The 18,242-nt window shown below is 39.6% G+C and overlaps 1 protein-coding gene across 4 annotated transcripts in view; it reads right to left on the bottom strand.

Annotated features, from left to right (window-relative positions):
- DCC (DCC netrin 1 receptor) overlaps nucleotides 1–18,242 on the bottom strand; it is a 1,195,703-nt gene that overhangs the window by 1,158,286 nt on the left and 19,175 nt on the right. The gene's annotated exons all lie outside the window — the stretch shown is intronic.

The raw sequence follows: 18,242 nt of genomic DNA, 5'->3' as shown, positions 1-18,242 counted from the left end.
GCAAAGACTCTGTTTTCACTATTATTTAAGACAAGATAAATACGTAAGTCAGATTCTCATAGTTTAAGACAAAAGACAACAATATCTAAATGCTAGCAGTGAAATCACCATGGTTGTTCTGGCTTTTTCAGGGGCTTACTAACAATGAAAAATGTAGCAATGTGACAGCACATGGCCATTCTTGGAGATTCATGAGCAAAATTACTTAAGGGAATATTAACCTGTAGAATCCTTGTAAATAAACTCCTCTGATAACAAGCTGATGTGCACTTTACTTGTCACCATTAGAAAAAGACCAACTGGCCATGCTTCTAAGTGATCCATTAAAGTTTTGAATGAGAAGTGCTCAGGATAGTAATGTAGGCTGGTTCCTCTCTTCTGGAAAAATCATAATCTTAACAGCATAGGAACTATTCATCAGCAGCTAATTTAACTTCACATTTAGATCAATTAGAGAAGAAAAAAAGCTGAAGTTAAGCACTTGTTTATACAATTTTTCTAAGTGAAATTGCTCACTCAAAGAGCATTGCAATAGGAACAGTCAGCGCTTTTCTCAAAAGGGTTTTATGCCTGAAGAAAGAGATTATCCTCTATTAATGATACCTGTATAGAAACAACGGGTGATAGGCATCAGATGTAGCCGCTGCTGGAAGGTCTGACCTGACCACCTGAGCACTCCAGGCACGGTTTTGATGGCTTTGCATTGACTTCGTGTTAACCACATTACATCTTATCCCCTTCCCTTCCTCAACTTTTACACATTTGCGTCTTTGAATGTTGTTTTGCTACTACTTCATGTATTCTAATAAATATTAACTGAGCATCTATCTATTCAAAGCATGTGCTAAGTGCTGAAGGAGACAAGATATATAATTAATAGAGATGACGTATGTAAAGTGCCTGGAACTTTAGCCCCAGTAGATATTCACTAAATGATTGCAGAGAAAATCCCCAAATAAACAAATAAATGGTGTAAAAGATGAGATAGGGAGTTTGTCCCGGAATGTTAAGAAACTAAAGATATTTTTATTTGTTTTGAGCATACTTTCTTCTATTGCAAGAAGGTTGCAAGTGAAAACTTGTGCATGTGCATGTACACACATATACACACACACACACACACACACACATAGAAATATACTATTATTTTTGAGAAATTCAAGTCTATTCTTTCTATTCTTGGCTACACAACAGAAATCTTCAGAGACAAATTAACTAACCCCTCCCTCCTCCTCCAATTAAATTCTGAAGAATTTGCCTACTTACTGGGTAGTTGAACATTCTTCATGAGTCAGGATTACTTCATGTCTTCATATTTGAAACCAAAGTGCTATTTTCTGCACCTCTTAATTGGAGTATGTATGACATGCCATTGTACAGAGTGTTCCTCCAATTGAGGACCTCAATGTTCTTTTTAAGCAAAAGATAAATCTAGGATAAGGCTTACAATCCAGAGTTATTTTATAAACAGCACCCTATGACAGTTAATAGATTTAGTTCAAGCCATCGTCCTACAGATAAAGGAAAGGAAGCACAAGAAAGAGAACTTTCCCCAAATCATAAATTAAAGCCTAGTGGGTTCCAGGATCTAGGTCTTTCGGGCTAGCATGTAGTGTTGTTTTCTCACTGATTACTTCTAAAGGGCTAGGAAACCTTGACTTCTCTCTAAAATTCTACAGACTACCAGTCTTTACCATTTGTCTCTGTGACTTAGCACCCCAACAGCTATCCTGATAGCATAAAACTTTTTCTAGCCTGGGGTCAGGATCTGACCTGGTACTCCCAGTATTCCCAGAAACACTTAACCCACAGGATGTCTCTTCTACTGCCTCACAACTATACTGGCTGGTTTAAGCCACTGGATGCTTCACACTGCTTTGTATAATATTATCCTGGAAAGGCTGTGATACTATATTTCTGGCCACTATACTTCCATTTAAAATTGTGAGACAAGACTTCCCTGCACAAACTTCACAAAGTTACATCCCAAATCAGGAAAAGAATGTCAAATGAAGGTTCAAGACTCCCATAGCTGGTCCACGGAGACATGATACTTCTGTGTTAAACACTTAGCAGCATGCCAAGAATTGTTCCTACAATCTTGTTTCTAAGAGTTATTTGAAATTTCATAATGAATAATAAAGATTAATTATATGATATGATTAGTGTCTCCAAAGAGCTAAACCAGTACCAGCATTTCATTATTTCATTATACTACTAATAAAATATTATAGAGCAGATTTGGTTTGTTAATTCTTTTAACCTTGCATATATCTTAAATGTGTGTGTGTGTGAGTGTTATAGTTTCACTTTTCTTAAGTTCACGTCCACTCAGACTTTTGCCCTCATCTTGATTGGCTTTGATATCTTGGCTCCTCTCATAGTAAAGAGATTCACAATCCTAAAGTCACTGACTTCTCATTTTTTGTCTCTATAGAACTCAAGACTATATATAACTAAAAATCTGGGTTTATTTTTAATAAGAGTCCTAACACATTCTTTTGTCAAAAGGCAACCACGTACCACAAAGGGGGATCAAGAAGACCAAAAAAGCCCCATGGCGCTCCTTCAGCCTTTCAGCCATGTATCAGATTGTTAAATCGAGGGATGGCAATGACATGTAGACAAGTCAATGTTCTGGGTCAGTGACATGGCATTGGACAGAGGTCAATGGCTGGGAAATCAATATTGAGAAGGAGAAAAAAAGGAGTGTAACACATTTGTTTCTACCTTTCAACTTCCCTTCTCTCATACAAAACTCCTCATCTGCTGTGTGAAATGAACATTTTAGGTAACAAGCCATTTCATGTATTAATCTTTCTAGACCAGAACAAAAGATTGGCTCTGACTAAAGACTAATGGGTCCAGTAGAGTCTTAGGCTGTTCAATCAAGACAATTTATTATGGCCAGCTCAAAGTTGATATTATGTTATTGTACATTTTCTCTTTTTTGTTTACATTACAGGAAATTATCTCATTTCCTTGGTTTCAAAAGACCTATTCCAGCCAGTCTAATGTTGGCCCTATCTGTGTTCTTAGATCTCTCTTGTATCTTGCCCCTCTCATCAATAATTCTTTGTTTAGATGCATGAATATATATATATATATAGCATTTATAGCTGTATATATTCAGTTCAAGTAAACATCATCAGTACCTAGTTCCTTCCCAATACTTCTAAGCACCGAGGGGCTAAAATTGGAACTGAACATACTTGTTCTGGAGGAGCTGCTCTGACTTAAAAAATTCAGATAAAAGTGTCCAACAACTTTCAGCTTGGATCGTAAGGGAAATAAGAAAGTCTCAATAATAGATATCCTCAGTAAAAACCAAAAACCCATTTGAGAAAGTGTATTCACTCTCTTTAGGTTCTACTCAGTGAACTCTGCAAGTTTGTAAAGGATAATCTAGATTAAAAAATATAGGCCCAGCATGGTGGCTCATGTCTGTAATCCCAGCACTTTGGGAGGCCGAGGCAGGCAGATCACGAGGTCAGGAGATCGAGACCATCCTGGCTAACATAGTGAAACCCCGTCTTTACTAAAAACACAAAAAAAAAATCCAGGCGTGGTGGCGGGCGCCTGTAGTCCCAGCTACTCCAGAGGCTGAGGAAGGAGAATGGTGTGAACTCAGGAGGCAGAGGTTGCAGTGAGCCAATATTGAGCCATGCACTCCAGCCTGGATGACAGAGCGAGACTCCGTCTCAAAAAAAAAAAAAAAAAAAAAATGATGCAACCAAATATGCTTCATTGATCCCAAGTGATTGTTTTCTTATTGCAAAAGCCTGTGATCTATCCAGGGAGAGAGAGGATAAGGTTTAAGCTAAACAATGACTAAGGTGTTAGCATCATTTAGGCTACAAAAGCCCAGATGGAAGGAGGGCATTGACTGAGGGCATTATTCAGATGATGAAATCAAACTTGGTTAACTTTCCTCAAAAGTGAAGGAAAAAGAGAGAGAGAGAGAGAGCTCTAACCTTCACATGTAATGGCTGTTATCAACTCCAAAGGTCAAAAGAGAATGCCCACCCACCCCCACAATGTACAGGGAGAGCCTTGTGGGGTTATGAAGCAAAATCTAATAGTTGGTATACATGTCACAGAAGAACAACATAATTTTAAATATACAGCAAAATTATTCCACTGAAGAAATAGAAATGTTGAATATAGTCACATCTATAGTTTCCAGCCTCACTACTATGTTTAATAAGCAGCTGAAAAATTGCTGATTTGTGGGCACTACTTATTTGTGAAAGCCCCCTCAAAAGTAGAACAGCATAGAACATAGAGACCTTGAGGCTTGCATCACACACTCTCAGATTCATTGTTGGTCACTTTAGAAGGTAGATTAGATTAAGGGTCACATTTGAGGGTAGGGGGAAAGATGCACATTTTTTGGAAAAAAAACTGTATGGCCATTAGTTTGCCTCACTCTGCCTTGTGGGTGGGGTTGATGCTTCTACTAAATTCACGTATCTTCTCCCATTAAACTATTCTTCTGGATGTGTTTACATTTTTTTAAAAAATCTGTATCTTTCTCTCTGAAAAACAAACCTTCACTGCCTGAGAGCTGGGTCATTGATTATAAGCCACAGGTGTGTTGTCAACACAATCAAACCTAGCGTGGGAATAGAGGCTCCTGCATCCCTAACAAGATAATGGTGTCAAGGACAGGTTTTTAGCAAAATGCACTGCATTTTCCATTCGAACAATAAATTGTTTCCAATGGTTGTCTCTTCTTTTATCATCTCGGGTTTTTGTTATTTCATCCTCTAAGTGATCCCAAAGCTGCCCCGAGGTATACAAATCAAATTCAGTGCATGTGCAGCTGCCACATTGCTTCTTGGGTTTTGCACCGTCAAAATACTTTGATATCTAAGCTAGGAGGTGAGAAAGAGGGTGGGTGAGGGAACAGATGAAGTAAGCACATTCATATCTGTGCTCACATCCATTCACAACTAAATCATACAAATGCATGGTTTCACACTCACGTTAAATGACAAAAAGTGTTGATGCATGCATACCTATATACACATAAAGATATATTCAGGGTCACTGCCATGTAATAGGTAGTATATACAACTATATAACATATCACTAGAAAATAGCTCTAATTTCCACAAGTAATAGTTGCTGTCAACTCTAAAGGTCATCACAGACACCCAACCAGCCCTACTCCCAGTGTACAGGGAGTGCCTTGTGGAACAGTTTAGCCTACAGCACTGTCCTCATAACCAGCCAATGCATGGACTCTCAAACAGAGCACATGTGTTTTTGCAAGAGAGAATAAACTCCCTCACCCCAAACTGACACTTTCCAACTACACAACCAATCCCCAGAGGGTTTCTTCAGCACTACAGCTACACGGGGTCTAGTATTATGCAGAGGTTACTACTCTCGTACAGAAAGAAGGCTCATTCAGAAACTTCCCTAGTGGCTTGCTAGATATCCAGCTCTTTGTAGTTGGAGGCAAAAGAAGAGGGCATAACTAAAGCATTGTTCACCCCAATACTCACTGGCTCAGAACCTGAGAACTTGTTTGACATATTCTGATATTCTGTAATTTTTCCATTCCCTTCTTCACAATGTGGTGAACAAAAACTACCAAATGAGTAGCTGATCAAAAGGAGGACATGATCAGAGAGTAAGACAATGCAATTAAGGATCTTCCAGGCAAACAGCTCCTTCTTCTTCAGCCTGGTCTTCTTTATTATCAAAGCATTGCCTGGGTAACACCCACAGCCAGGACTAGGCAGAGGCCAGAGAGGAACCTAGGGTGCCAAATTTAAGAACACATTCTTCCTTAGGTCCTGAAACTCCATTAGGTCCAAAATATAATGCTATGAGGAAACTAGCATAAACCAGACAGAAAATTGATAGATTCATTCGAAGAGTCATTTCCAAACCAATTCTATTTTTTCATGATTCCATGACAAACGAACTCCATACATTGCTTTGCACACCCAGAGAAGAAGCAGGCGGGAGGGGAAGGAGGTCTAATTAGAAAGCCTTCTTCCCGGGGCTGCTAAGTAACTTCAAGCCTTTAAGAAGGTGAAAAAGGGTAAAATGGAATTAAAAGAGTTAACAACTAACAAACACTTTTCGTTCTGAAACCTCTTAGTAAACGTTCACTAACGTTCTCTCTAAAAAATTAGAGTATTACATTTTAGGAGGTATCCAGGGTTTTTCCTTACTTAAACATATTTCACAAAATATAAATTACTGCTTAGGCATTTGATAAAAATTGTCCAATTTAGTACTTTGGATAACTTTGATCTAAAAGCAGAAACACTATTTTCACTTTGGTATTTCCCAGATTGTATCCACTCATTCATTCATATACACAAACATAGACAAATTTTGTGGCACCTAGGCACTGCTCTAACTGCTGGAAATATAAAAATACATAAATAAAAATACCAGTTTCAAGAAGTGATAGACTAGTATGATTTTTTTTTTTAAATCAGCCAAAAGATGGTCCTTTCAACATTACCAATGTTCTCTCCAGTGCCCTAACAAGATGACATCCAGGGAGAAAGTAGCCTGTCCCCTGACAAAGAGTTCTCTTTGTAATGGAGTTCACATTTGACAAAGTTCTATTGATTTCTGAACTCCCGCTTTCCACCAACCTCTAGCATGCTCTCTGTATTTACCGAAGTCTGTTCCATTATCTCCATCTGGTAATGTTGTTCCAAATAGTTATTTGGTGTAAAAATTTCAAAAAAATACAATGATTTCCTTGAGACACTCTGCCATCTTATTCCTTTCTTCTCCATCAAAAAATATTTTTTAAAATGGTTAAACAATTTCTCTCAAGCGTTGGTGATTTTTCTTCAATTATTATTCAATCTTATTGCTTTCTGAATTAATTACTACATGTTTTTTTCTTTAACTTTTATTTTAAGTTGCAGGGTACATGTGTAGAATGTGCATGTTTGTTACATAGGTAAATGTGTGTCGTGGTGGTTTGCTGCACAGATCAACCCATCATCTAGGTATTAAGCCCAGCATCCGTTAGCTATTCTTCCTGATGTTTTCCCTGCCCCCACACCCCTGACAGGCCTGAGTGTGTATTGTTCCCCCCAATGTGTCCATGTGTTCTCATCATTCAGTTCCCACTTATAAGTGAGAACATGTGGTGTTTGGTTTCCTGTTCCTGCATTAGTTTGCTGAGGATAATGGCTTCCAGCTCCATCCTAGTCCCTGAAAAAGACATGATCTTGTTCCTTTTATTCCATGGTGTATATGTACCACATTTTCTTTATCCAGTCTATTATTGATGGACATTTGGGTTGATTCCATGTCTTTGCTATTGTAAATAGTGCTGCAATGAATATACACATGCATTTATCTTTATAATAGAATGATTTATATTCCTTCGGGTACATACCCAGTAATAGGATTGCTGAGTCAAATGTTATTTCTTCTTCTAGATCTTCGAGGAATCGCCACACTGTCTTCCACAATGAGATACCATCTCATGCCAGTCAGAATGGTGATTATTAAAAAATCAAGAAACAACAGATGCTGGTGAGGTTGCAGAGAAAATGAAATGCTTTTACACTGTTAGTGGGAGTGTAAATTAATTACTGTTTTTAATATCACCCATTACTTTTGAATTTTCATATTTTGGAAGTATTTTCTTTTCTGCAATTAGCTCTGTATGTTTGGATAAGATGAGGGAAATTAAGTCAGACACTGTTAGTGCCACAATCCTTTGAATTCATTTTCCCAATCATATTCAGGTTGACTCAAACGTAGTAATCCTGCCCATGTATATATCACAGAAACTTTTTACATTCACTCTGGTAATTGCATTCAAATTTCTCTGAGATATATAGTCATGACAGACCAATTCTGTATAACCTCATCAATGAGGATCAAGTAAAGTAACATCACCTTTGAGTTATAAACACCATGCTGATATTTCAATACAGATTTGGTTTATATAATATCTTTCAGTACTGACAATTAAAGAAAAAAATAAATGTAACAAGCAGAGAGGCAGAGAGAGAAAGGTCTCAAGGCCAAGCCCCTGTGATGTCCTCCATTTGCAAAGTGTTTGGTGACATCGTTGTAACATCATGAGCATGATCCCCGGGGCTGCCTTCTTCGATTATTCACCCACTCTTCCATCGGCTCCTACACCCATGCACACTCAACACAAATGGTAAGAAATGGACACTTCTCTTTGAATCTGTTCAGCCATTCCCAGATTACTGATGGTCAGGTGTTTGTAAAAATTATTCCCACTATTGAAGGACCTGAGGTGGGGAGAAATAACCAATTTGCAAATAAAAATCTAACTATTGAAGGATCTAAAGTGGGGAGGAATAGCCCATTTGCAAAGAAAAAAAAACCCACAAAGAAAAAAAACCCACAAAGAATTATAGAAGTAAAATTTAAACAGAATCTAGAAGCACCTAGCACACATTCTTAGGGTTTTTGTCCTCGTTTTTGAGAAGACTCTTCATCGATACCACCAAATTCATTCTTGGAGAGACAAGGAATTTCCTTCCCGGTTTTTCGTACAAAGAAATTACATGAAACACCTTTGTAACCTTAAGAGAAAGACTTGCCATTCTCAGTCTCTCCGATACTATAACAGGTAGAAACACACTCAGAACTGGTGCTTTCTGAGCCAGATCCTTCTCACCACATGGAGGATCAACAACAACTTTGATTTGCATCATGATACATACTTTTCTGGGCACTTTATACATACATTATATCACTTGATGCTCAGCCCTCCCTTGGACATAAGCAGGACTAGCAGTCTTATCTTCATTTTGCAAGGTATAATGTCTGGGCAACACAGTGCACAGGTCTGGGAAGGTACCAGGATCCTGAACAAAGACTAGAGTTTTTTTCAACCCTTTCACACTGCCTTCCAGACAATGAAGAGGTGGGAGCTATGGAGAAAGAACTTCTTCACTTTGCAAGTAGTCTAATTCTTAAGAACCCAGTCACTATATCCAAAACAGTGGGAAAAAGTCACCCATCAGCACTGGTCAGGGACCACTTGTAAGTCTCAGCAACTCTGACTTGATAATGTAGTACTTTCTCAGTACCCGCTGTGTGAGGCACTTAAGTGTGACAGGATCATTTTTCCTGCAGAATGACGCATAGGGAGCTAAGGATATGGACTGAAACCTGCTATTTTTTCTCAGGGTGGAAAGAGCAACATTCAGAGCACAGAGGGTATGCTTTGAGATTAAAAATTAATTTGTCTTCTTGTCCCCCATTCATTTATCCCAAATAGCCTCCAGCCCCCAAAACAACTACTTACCAATTCTAAAAGAAATAGAAAGAAACACAGACCCATGATATTAAGAACATGTTCATGAAAAAAAGAAAGAAACAATGGGGATAAATAGTTCAAGACACTCAAAACATACTTTCAGAAATGAAACAGATTGCACCTCGTGACTACTCCTTCAAGGTAAATATGTATATTCAACTCTAGCCACAGGGTGTACAGCTGCACAAGTGATCATAAATTACTTTCCTATGCCTCTAGACAAGAGCAGATTTAACCCAGTCTCAAACAGCAGGATCTTTCTGAGTGGAAAAGGTCCAAAACCTGCAAAGTTCACACAACTACTGTGGCCTGTTTGCTTATTAGTGAGTTCACAGATGTCACTATCTGGACTGGAACAACCCCTCCAAACAAAAAGGAAGCAGGTACAAAGCCTTTCTGATCAATACCTCTGTGACTCTGAGCAGCATGGAAGGGCCTCAATTGCAGAAAGAATACCTATAATTCCCACAGTACACCATCACACTTGCAGACTTGCCTATGTACAGCCAATTTCAACTTCTTCCCTCAGTGCGAGTTTCCTGCTTATTCTCATTCAAAGGACTGCTTCAGATTCTCTGCACCCCATCAAAGTTGTTAGAGGTAACCTTTGCTAACTGGGAGAAACAGCCATACTTAGGCACTAGATTAGCTAAACCAGCCAAAGACAAAACACAAACACCATCATCAGTATTGAGACAAGAAAAGAAGATTGGCTCTGCCGAGAAAAGCCAATACATAACAGGATGACACAAGCAACAAGGACTCAAAGTAAATATTCAGAGAAGTTGAGATTAGATCAAATCTCCCAGTGTCCTTCTGAAGAGGAGATCCCATTATTATGTAATTAGTGAGAGGTGACAGCGTGCTGGCAGTCCTCAGAGCCCTCGCTTGCTCTTGGCACCTCCCCTGCCTGGGCTCCCACTTTGGCGGCATTTGAGGAGCCCTTCAAACCCCCACTGCACTGTAGGAGCCCCTTTCTGGGCTGGCAAGGCTGGAGCCCACTCCCTCAGCTTGCAGGGAGGTGTGGAGGGAGAGGCGCGAGCGGGAACCGGGGCTGCGTGCGGCACTTGCGGGCCAGCTGGAGTTCCGGGTGGGCGTGGGCTTGGCGGGCCCCGCACTCAGAGCAGTCGGCCAGCCCTGCTGGCCCCGGGCAATGAGGGGCTTAGCACACGGGCCAGTGGCTGTGGAGGGTGTACTGGGTCCCCCAGCAGTGCCAGCCCACCGGCGCTGCGCTCGATTTCTCACCGTGCCTTAGCTGCCTTCCCGCGGGGCAGGGCTCGGGACCTGTAGCCCGCCATGCCTGAGCCTCCCACCCACTCCATGGGCTCCTGTGCGGCCCGAGCCTCCCCAAGGAGCACCACCCCCTGCTCCACGGCGCCCAGTCCCATCGACCACCCAAGGGCTGAGGAGTGCGAGCGCACGGCACGGGACTGGCAGGCAGCTCCACCTGCAGCCCTGGTGCGGGATCCACTGGGTGAAGCTAGCTGGGCTCCTGAGTCTGGTGGGGAGGTGGAGAGTCTTTATGTCTAGCTCAGGGATTGTAAATACACCAATCAGCACCCTGTGTTTAGCTCAAGGTTTGTGAGTGCACCAATCGACACTCTGTATCTAGCTGCTCTGGTGGGGCCTTGGAGAACCTTTATGTCTGGCTCAGGGATTGTAAATACACCAATCAGCACCCTGTGTTTAGCTCAAGGTTTCTGAGCGCACCAATCGACACTCTGTATCTAGCTGCTCTGGTGGTGCCCTGGAGAACCTGTGTGTGGAAACTCTGTATCTAACTAATCTGATGGGGATGTGGAGAACCTTTGTATCTAGCTCAGGGATTGTAAACGCACCAATCAGCGCCCTGACAAAACAGGCCACTCGGCTCTACCAATCAGCAGGATGTGGGTGGGGCCAGATAAGAGAATAAAAACAGGCTGCCCGAGCCAGCATTGGCAACCCGCTCGGGTCCCCTTGCACACTGTGGAAGCTTTGTTCTTTCGCTCTTTGCAATAAATCTTGCTACTGCTCACTGTTTGGGTCCACGCTGCTTTTAAGAGCTGTAACACTCACCGCGAGGGTCCGTGGCTTCATTCTTGAAGTCAGTGAGACCAAGAACCCACCAATTCCGGACACATTAGTACTAATATTTTAAACATAGATGTTTATAGGAGGAAAGTCAGGAGTCAGCATAAACAGATTAAGCACATGCTAAAATCTCTCTCTTCTCCTTCATATACGTAAAAATGATAGGCATTACAAAGGTTGTAAAATGCATAAAATTCAAGTAATATATAGAGTTGTAAGAAGCTATATTCTAAGAACAATTCCATAACGTGATGCCTTAAGTTTAAACACAGGTGTGTGATCAAGCGGTAAGAGCCTGGTACAGGGGTCAGCAAACTATGGACTGCAGGTTAAGTCCAGACTATTTTTATAAATAATGCTTTATTGGAACAAAGCCATACTCATTTATTTATGTATTGGCTATGGCTGTTTTGTGCTACTATGGCAAAGTTGAGCAGTTGCCTCAGAGATTGTGTGACAATCAAAACCTAAAATATTAACTATCTGACCCTTTACAGAATAATTCTGCTAATCTCTGATCTGTAGCAATACTGTAAGTGTTGAAAAATTAGCACGTCCTCCCAGCGTAAGTAATATCTGACTACAGTGGAGAAGGAGGACTTAGTTGCAACCCAGTTTAGCATCCCTTTGCTGCATCCCTCCTCCCCTCTCAGCTTTGCTCAGTAATCTTTCCTTCACTGCCATACTCTCCCCTCGTACCTCAGACCATAAACCCCACCCAAGCAATTGGCATTAGTACTCCCAAGATTCCCATTGTTCTATATGTTAAGATAGAGAAAAAGGGAATTCTTTTTTCCAGAGATATTAACACAATTTTAAATAAATTTTAATTCCTTTAATAAGTAATCATGTGTTACTTGTTTATCTTTTTCATTAAACAGTTTTCAAGGATCTTGTCTGTTGCCCACTACTATATCTCCCTTGCCTCAATACTTGATAAATGAGAGCATTAGTTAATGAAATACAATAACGAGAACAGTCTTATGGTCAATCACTACTGCGAAGGATAACACTAACCCTTGACATTTGCAAAGCACTCTTCTTCCAAACATTCAAGCATTAAACATCATCATCTCATTAATCTTCTTAAGATCAGAGAGCAAGGAAGATGACAAGGAGACAAGTTTAAACATACCATATGATAGTGAAGAAACCTCTAGATATTTTCCAACTCAATTTATTTTCAAACACATCCTTCTATTTTTTTTTGTCTCCTAAAATGTACTGTGTTCAGCCAATGAGATTTATTTCTTTTAAACTTTCTACATATTTAGAGTTTTCTGCTATGACAAAAAAGGCATAAGTCCCCCAATGTAAGTCTCTGAAGAAAAAATATAGTGGGAGTAGGAGGTGAAAAGGATCACCCAAGAAACTCATTCAGTCTCATGACCAAGGACTGTTTTGCTCATGAAAGACAATGGCCACTGACTTCACCATGCCACCTCCTCACTGCCTCTAAGCCTGCCCTTCCTGGCCCACTTCCACTCATACTAAGAAGGGCAAAACCAGGATCAATGAGTAAGCAACAGGTGAGAAGAGTAGAACAGAAAGTTCTAGAATAACTAATCCAAAAATAATTTAAGGCAGAGGCATAATAAGGCTGTGGAACCTGCCCTTGGTGGTATTAAGGAGGAAGCTAGAGGATCTTCGGAGGAATGCTATGTAATAAATGTTTTCCTCACCAGAAAATGAATCTAGCAGATTTCCAAGTTCCCTCCCAACTCTTAGAAAACTTTGGTCTTTTAATTGCATTCATAATAGATGGCTAAGCTTTTTTTAAGTTATGCCAGCATATGCAATATAATTTATTTACTATTAAGAATAAACACATGCAATGTTTATCAAAATTTTAACAGTAATTAACTCTGAGTCATGTAACGATGAGTGATTTATATTTTCTTATATACCTGTTTAAATGCTTTCCTCATTGAACATATTTTCTTTGGTAAATAAGATACTAAAAGTTTTAAAAATCTTTATAGCAATCATAGAACCAATCACTACATAATATGCAATTTATTCTATGAACATTTCTCAGGCCATAAAGACATTTAGTGTTGTCTCCACAGAACAGAGTAAAAAAAATGTGTGGTATTTAAATATTAAACATATTTAAGCATCAGTGTGGTGGAGATTCCTGACCTTGTCTTCTTTTGGAGCTGCGGTTTTCACTGATGGCCATGAGAGGGTGACTCAAGGAACACCAACCTGCTTAGGTGTCAGTCTCAGGGGGCCAGAGAAGCACAGAAGGCACATGGGCCATGGGGTGCCATGTTGCACAGTGTAGATGGCAGACTGAAGGGCTAAAGGGCAATCAGAGTTTCCCAGGACTGGGTGAGAGTACATCTGGCCCTCCAAAGTCACTAAGAAAAAAGCCAATGTTGATATCTTAGAAGGAGGACTTTTAGGAGCTGATTGGCATAGTCACTCACCAATCAGAATGGAGGAAGCAGGGCACATTGGGAGGCCCTGGATAGCAAATATTTACCAATCAGTGAGGAAGTATGCTAATATTTCAGCAATTTGAACATCCATAATGCTTCCTGTTGGCTGAACACTGAAAATGGCTTAAATATATATTTTTTAATTGACCAGTAGAGCCTAGTTCTCTTTTTTGGCCTTGTGCCCTTTCTTATGGGCTATAACATCCCCTGCTCTCAAACTTTCTGAGAACTGCATCTTTGCCTGACATATATCCCCAGTGATAAAGCCTTCTGAGTCAAAGAAGATATGGCCAGAAGCAAAGAGCAAGAGAGGTGTTGTGTCCAAGACACAACTAATGTGAATCTTTCAGGGGAAGGAAGTGTGCTATATTTTTCATCAGCTACATGATAGGAGAGAAAGGAGAAATGAGGGATTCTGAAGGGTGACCTCATGAACCTGATTGGCACTTCCATATTCTCATATCAAAATATAAGAGCTCTAGAAATAGAAACAGAACCCATCAATTACATGATTTCATTAATTAGTCTGAGCTGAACCTGGTCTGAATACAGACTTCTTGATGAGCTGAGTCTCCTATGTGATGGTAAACCAACAAAGTTTATCCCTAGAAAGGTGTTTATAGGCTGGATGCAGTGGCTCAGGTCTGTAATCCCAGCACTTTGGGAGGCTGAGGTGGCGGATCACTTGAGGTCAGGAGTTCAATACTAGCCTGGCCAACATGGCAAAACCCCATCTCTACTACGTGTTGGCACATGCCTGTAATCCTAGCTACTCCTGAGGCTGAGGCAGGGTAATCGCTTGAACCCGGAAGGCAGAGGTTGCAGTAAGCCGAGATCCCGCCACTGCACTCCAGCCCAGGTGACAGAGCAAGACTCTGTCATAAAGAAAGAAAGGAAAGAAGGAAGGAAGGAAGGAAATGAACGAATGAATGAACGAAAGAAAGATAGATGTTTATAATGCAGCCCAAGTAAATAAATGCTCTTTTGGTTTATGGAGGGAGGAGGGGAGTGGGGGGGGCTAAAAGAACAAAGAGAAGTTTTGTTTGATTCTGCTCCCACTCCCAACCTGCCTATAGGGAGATTATTCAGCTTTTCTTCTTCAATATTTAATATTCCAAAGTTCTATTTTTTTAAGGTTCCTCTGATATTCTTGGTTTCAGGAGTTAATAACCCAAAACAGAAACTCAATCATAGATTTTAGAAGCTAAGAGAAAAAAAATAAAAACTATAGGCTACAAGATAAAATCTATTATAGCATTCAAATTTTATAACCCTCCCTTATCTTCCCCTTACAAACTTATGAAAGATTACTTGATGCAAATTGGACAGGTCCTACACTTATCCCCGATCTTTTTGTTTCTAACTGGGCCACCAACCAATGCTGGTGGTCGTAGAGCATAAAGAGATAGATATATGAGGTCTTGGCATAAATTCAAGAAAGAAGTTGACTGTTTATCAAGTAAGTCCTGTGACTTCCCAGCTCCAAGTGGGGGACATAACCGTCAAATCTGGATCTGTGGAAAGCACAAATGGTTGGATAAATGGAGCTAACATACCTAATAACCATCATTCACTCATTCATGGGAATGGCCAGATGTCTGGAAACAGGACTGCCATCCTTGAAGAAAAGAGCTCAGGGACTGGCCTTTTCCTTCAAGCAACTCATGGTTCATTTGGTGTATATGAGTTAGCAAAATAACATCAAGCCATGCATAATTAGCAACCAATTACTGGAATAGAAGACACAATTATTCCAATCAATGTGGTCTTTAGTGCCTTGGGACTTCAGAGGTATGGATGAGAATGTGTGTCATGACCTAAATGAAGAGAATAGATGTGAGCCAGCCCTTGGACAGTTATTCTGGTCTTGACACTGTTTAATGAGCACAACACTCAACCCTTTGGAGGAAATTTAGAAGCCACATGAACGAGCTGTGGTGATACTGGTTCCTTCCCTGCACACCATTGCTAATTCATGAGTAACTCACAGCTCTTAGAATATGGTAGCAATTTGAGTAGGAAACATGCTATTACTAGAATGATATGTCTCAAACTTTGACTTGCATAGCCATCACCTGGGGATCTTGTTAAAATGTAGATTCGAATTCAGTAAATTTTGGATGAAGCCTGAGTTTCTGCATTTCTAATATGCTCTCATGTGATATGGAGGTTGGCTGGCCCACAGGCTGCACTTTAGAGGCAAGGTTCAAGAGGGCAGTTGAACATTTTGGAGGCGTTGGAACTGACACTTTTAGAAGACAGGCATGCCTAGCACGTGTCTCTCTTGGAAGGTGATCTGTCTTATAGAGACAATTCTCATCTCAATCATGTCTTTTGTTGTCTAAATAACAAAGCAAATATTTGAGGTTTTCTTTTTCCACGATATTTCTTTTTACTTATTTGGTAGAAAGAAAACACAACTCAGTATCTTAATGCAATGCAAAAATAAACATTAACTTTCCACAAATTTCACAGTAAATGTGGGGCAGGTAGAGAAAGAGACAAAAAAGACTGAACAAAACAAATAAATTGTGGTTTATTCTGAAGTGATGGGATTATGGAACAATTTCCTTCTCAAACTCACACATTTATGTAATATTTGAATATTTATAATAAGCATATATATCTTTTTAGGTAGAAATTATAATAAAGATAAGGATAGAAATGTATATTAAAGTTTGAGAAGGCCAGGTTTTTGTCTCAACATGACTGTCAGCTTCATCACCGTGAAAGCATCACTTTGCGCTGCTGTGACCTCATGTGAGACAAATTAGGCAACTTAGTATACTCTAAAGCTTGTAAGTAATAGAATAGATGAGTTTTAAACTGTAAGTTTGAGGATTAATTGACTTTAACTGTGCATTCATAGATGGGTCCACTTACACACCTCCAATCATGAGTAAAAACAATGCATTCTTACTAGCAATCCCAAACTGGCCCTTTCCTTTCTGTAGTTGCAAAACAATAAAAGAATTCAGGAACTAAACATTTGTATCCAATTTCATTTTTGGCTTAGTTAAGCAAAATTGTCCTCCCCAAAAAAGACTTTCAGTGTTTTCAAAACAAGTTTCTTTGCTGAAATGGCTCTTTTCATAAAATCATACAGTAGTTTCTGATTTTTTTAAATCATGCACCATCTCTTTAAGAGAAAATTGGGTTATTGATTAATTGATTATATGCTGCTCACAAATGCCAACTTAAGCACAAGTAAGGAGACACTATTGAATGTTCATAACTCAAAGCCTGCAAGACCACGCTACATGGTTGCATTATTACCGTCTCCTATTTTAATGAAGACATAGCACAGCACTTTGTTGGCCTAATTTACACAATACATCAAAACTGTGCAAAATTCCCTTACACTACAATGGGAGAGAAATTGCAGCACATATGTGAATCACAGAGTTAAGTTGGCTTGTTAAGGTAAGGCATTAGCATTCTAAAGCTGTATTTGGAATGTTAGTCTTTTATAAGGTGGCAGTGGATTTCTTCTTCAGAGGAAATTAAAGTGCATGAAGCTGTCTTATAACTTGTTAGTGAAAACTGTGACATTTGAAAATGATTAACAGAAAATTGAATTTTTATTTATATACTCAATAATCTAGAAGTGTCTAAATAATAAACGGTTCACAGAAGAAGATCCCTCTTTTAGAGAGGAGAATAACAATAATAAAAATAAAACAACATTGCAAGAATTAATGTGATTTGCAAAAAAATAAAAAGCAATAGTGTAATAATTACCCACAACAATAAAAATAACAACAATAGTGTAATAGCTACAACATCTATTTATCTAGGAATTATAGCATAGACTTAATTAAGGACATGTTATGGAGCAGGATTTAAATCATAAGTCTGCAATTTACTAGCATGGAGGCATGGAAAAATTGGCCAACTTTTTGGTGTCTCACTTTTCCTACTTGTAAAAGGACATAATATTAATTCCTCTCTCACTGTTTAACTGTGAGGAAAAAAATAATATGGGAACATACAGCAGTTTGAACTGAGTATTGCCTGTGACAGAAACCCCATTACAGTGTTTTAAAATCAAACAGAGGTTTACTTTGTAGCATAAAAAGAAGTCTAGAAAGAAACAATCCCAAGATTATATAGCTACCCCAAGGAAGTCACCATGGACTCAAGCTTCTCCTCATTTCCTTCTCATTGTTCATAATAGATGATGTAACACAGGATGGCTACTTCAATTTCAGGCCTCACTCCTACTTTCCAGAGAAAGAAGGAAGCAACAAGGAGGAAGGGGGTGGTAATTAGGACAGGAGAGTAAGCTTACTCTGAAATCCCCAGAAGTGTCCTGATTACCATGCCAATCACCAGAACTTTCACATAACTACCCCTAGCTGCAAGGGAGCCTGAGAAATCGAGTCTTTGAGCTAGCACATTGCTACTTAAAATGGGATATTCTTCTG

The sequence above is a fragment of the Homo sapiens genome, chromosome 18 (assembly GCF_000001405.40).
Source record: "Homo sapiens chromosome 18, GRCh38.p14 Primary Assembly".
In the NCBI taxonomy this organism is placed as follows: Eukaryota; Metazoa; Chordata; class Mammalia; order Primates; family Hominidae; genus Homo; species Homo sapiens.
The sequence above is the reverse complement of the archived record's forward strand: the minus strand, read 5'-3'. Positions and strand labels throughout refer to the sequence as shown.